Raw genomic sequence first — 3,565 nt, forward strand, 5'->3', positions numbered from 1 at the left:
CTAGAACATGGGAAATGCTCAATAATTGCTCACTAGAGTGAATTACTGAAAAAAGGGAGTCTGAGGTCAGGTTTTCTAGAAGTAGAGCCTAATATGGGCACCTTTGCACAAGAAACTTATCAAAGAAGGGCTTTCAGAAGAAAGAGAGTGAGAGCAAGTCCTAAGGAAGGATGTGGTCTCAGTCAGAGGCCAGTCTCAGCCAGACCCCCAGGGGGCTCTGGGGTGGGGATTCTCCACAGGCTCGCTGCCTCCTTGAGGCCCCTCTGTTACTCATTGGCTCCAAGTGGTTGGGACGGACGGGAGTGTGTAACCTCCCAGGAGGATGTCTCCTGATGACTGAGGGCAATTCTCCAGAGAAAGGGGCAGCTGTGAGCATCATTCACAGCATTCAGGCATGGGTGCACCCATCTGCACAGGAGATCTGGATGGGGCACCAACAGCATGCATGACAAATAGAGACATACTTGGTGTGCATGAGTTATAACCAGACACTGCCAATGCCCCTTCCATTGGAAAGTTCTGTGATCTTAGGATGTCTATAGGAAACAAGTCCAAGAAGGAGCACAATTCTTTCATCTTGTGGGATTTTTATTAGACAACACAGAAGCTGGAAAGTTAATAGCCCGCATCTCTGAGTAGCCTGGGCCTTGGCATGTCTTCTCAAGCCTGAAGTGCCTGCTGGTGTGGCCTTAGCACCCTGGGGGCCCCCAAACAGCAGATTCCACCCTCCAGGTTCCCTCTTCTCTGGAAGAAAGATAGCCCTCTCACTCTCTTTCTCTCCCTGTCCCACAGGTGCCTCTCTCAGTGGTGGCCTGGCAGCCTCCACCAAAGAATGTCACTGGCCTGAGGCCCGGCCTCAGACAAAAGCCCTTTGGAGCTAAGCCTACATCCTCTGTCTGACAGGACCCTGCCCGCCTCCCTCACCACCAACTAGGGAGGGCAGCTAAATTCATCCTCCTCGAAAGGATGGATTCCACAGAGCAAGGCCGCCTCCCTACTCAGGAAGTAAAACCACTCCGAACCCTTGATCTCTGCCCTTGGCTCCTGGACAAATAACTGACTGTCCTCACACAGAGGGCCCCGTAGCCCCGAGAGCAGAGGCAGAGAGGCCTGCAGACACGTGTGCACTGGGGGCTGCAAGGAGGGAGCCCAATGCCAAAAACAAAACACAAAGCCCTGAGTCCCAAACAAATCTTCACACCCAACTCAACTCTGATCAGGGCTGGGAATGAAACTGACTCGAGTTTGAATTCCTGGCTCTGCTATTTACTAACAGTGCACCCCCACGCCAGTCATTCCCTGAAACTCAGTTTTCACAATTTTCAAATAGAGAGAATAGTATTTACTCTATAATTACATGTTTTGAGGGTTAAATGAGATAACATAAAATCTTGGTACAAAGGCTGGTACTTTTTCAGCAAACCAGTCTTCTAATACCATCCTATTCCTTTGAGCACCTAAAGCCCCTTGATGGGAGATCCAACATTTAACCTGCTTGGAATCTTGCAGATGTGTCCAAATGCCCTCCTTACTCAAGCTCACTGATGCTGTTCTTTCTTACCCTGCCTCCTCAGGCCAAGTCTCAACCTCTTTGTGATTCTACCTGTTCCTTCTGGAGCTCTGCATGGCTGGCTTCTGGAAGGCCATCAGCTGTGATCTCACCTGGACCCAAAACTACAGCTCCCACTCACTGCCCATCATATGAGCCACTGAAAGTCCTGGCGTGGTGTTGGAGGAGCTGTTTCCTGATTGCAGAGTATCTAGAATGGAAGGCCTGTCGTGATGGGATTTTGTTGGCAGGTTGTCTTCCAGATGGCTATGAAGACAATTTTGCTTTATGCTGCCCAATTCTGGTTGCTTCCTCTCCTAGGAAATGAGAGCCTTCATGGTGGACATGGCCTTAAAGACCAACACTGTTGTTTTATGGCTAAAAAGATGGACATACAGATCGGTGAAATGCCTACAAAACTAGAATGCTACCCAGGCCCAGAGGCAGCTGTCTGAACATAACCATGGAGAGGAGAGTTTCCCCTTCCTGGAGCACCCTCTTCCCTTCCCTTCCCAGCACCCTCCTTCCCTGCTTCTCCATCTGTTGTCACCTTTCCCCTCTGTACTGGATTGAACAGTGTGCCCCAAAAATTCATGTTCACCTGGAACCTCAGCATTTGACCTTATCTGGAAATAGGATCTCTGCAGATGTAACTCAGTTAACGTGAGGTCATACTGGATTAAGATGAACCATAATCCAGGCTGGGTGCAGTGGCTTATGCCTGTAATCCCAGCACTTTGGGAGGCTGAGGCGGGAGGATCACCTGAGGTTGGGAGTTTGAGACCAGCCTGACCAACATGGAGAAACCCCGTCTCTACTGAAAATACAAAATTAGCCGGGCATGGTGGTGCATGCTGGTAGTCCCAGCTACTTGGGAGGCTGAGGCAGGAGAATCACTTGAACTCGGGAGGCGGAGTTTGCGGTAAGCCAAAATCGCGCCATTGTGCTCCAGCCTGGGCAACAAGAGCAAAACTCCATCTCAAAAAAAAAAAAAAAGATGAACCATAATCCAATAACTGGCATCTTTACAAGAAGAGAGAAATTTAGACACAAACACACAGTGGAAAGTGGTCACATGAAGACAGAGGCAGAGATTAGAGTTCTACGCCACAAACCAAGGAATGCCATACATTGACATCAACCATTAAAGGCAAAGAAGAGACAAGGAAAAATTGTTCTCTAGAGCCTTTGGAGAGAGCATGGCCCTGCCGAAACCTTGATTCCAGACCCCAACCTCCAGAACAGTGAGAGAATACATTTCTGTCGTTTTAAGCCATTCAGTTAGTGGTGCTTTGTTACAACAGCCACAGGAAACCTGCACCCTCTTGTCTTGTGCTCTCCTCCATCCCTCCCTTGGTGGAAGAAGAATAGACTCCTAAGACACACGAATTTACACAAACACATTAGGATCAAGGGCCCACAGCTTCAGTATTTGCATTTTATAGGATGACTTCCACTAAAGGTAACGAAGTGGAAGCAGGACTGGAAATTCTCACAAATGGAGGCCTAGTTACAGCTCTGCAAATCACCCTTACAAAAAAATGTATCATCACCTCCATTTGATAGATGCAAAAGCCAGGGCTCAAAGAGGCATGAGCAAAGGGGGCAGGGTTGTGTGGTGGCTAAGAGTGTAGCCTGTGGCCCCATGGTCAGCCTGTGTCCAGATCCTGGGTACTCTACTTCATAACTGGCCATATGAACTTAGGCAAGTCAATTTAACTTCTCTGGGCCTTGGTTGCCTCATCTGTAGAATGAGGATAATAATAATAAAATCTATCTCTAAGATAGATGGGAGGTAAAACCTATCTCTAAGATAGATGGGTACCATGGGTACCATGCTCACTACCTGAATGAAAGGATTAATGGTACCCCCAAACCTCAGTATCACACAATATACCATTATAACAAACCTGCACCTATACCCCCAAATCTAAAATAAAAACTGAAAAGAAGTTTTAAAAAAGTAAAAACAGAAAAAAATGGAGCTATGTGTATTACTGGAAGGTTCTGGTAATT

General features: G+C 47.7%; 2 annotated features.

Moving 5' to 3' along the window:
* Positions 345-846: an enhancer, noted in NCBI's record as "H3K4me1 hESC enhancer chr8:125810571-125811072 (GRCh37/hg19 assembly coordinates)". NCBI's record gives its function as "activates a minimal SCP1, AML or CMV promoter by ChIP-STARR-seq in naive H9 embryonic stem cells {active_cell/tissue: H9 hESC(naive)}" and the evidence as "EXISTENCE:reporter gene assay evidence [ECO:0000049][PMID:30033119]".
* Positions 847-1,346: an enhancer, noted in NCBI's record as "H3K4me1 hESC enhancer chr8:125811073-125811572 (GRCh37/hg19 assembly coordinates)". NCBI's record gives its function as "activates a minimal SCP1, AML or CMV promoter by ChIP-STARR-seq in naive H9 embryonic stem cells {active_cell/tissue: H9 hESC(naive)}" and the evidence as "EXISTENCE:reporter gene assay evidence [ECO:0000049][PMID:30033119]".

The sequence above is a fragment of the Homo sapiens genome, chromosome 8, assembly GCF_000001405.40.
Source record: "Homo sapiens chromosome 8, GRCh38.p14 Primary Assembly".
Lineage (NCBI taxonomy): Eukaryota > Metazoa > Chordata > Mammalia > Primates > Hominidae > Homo > Homo sapiens.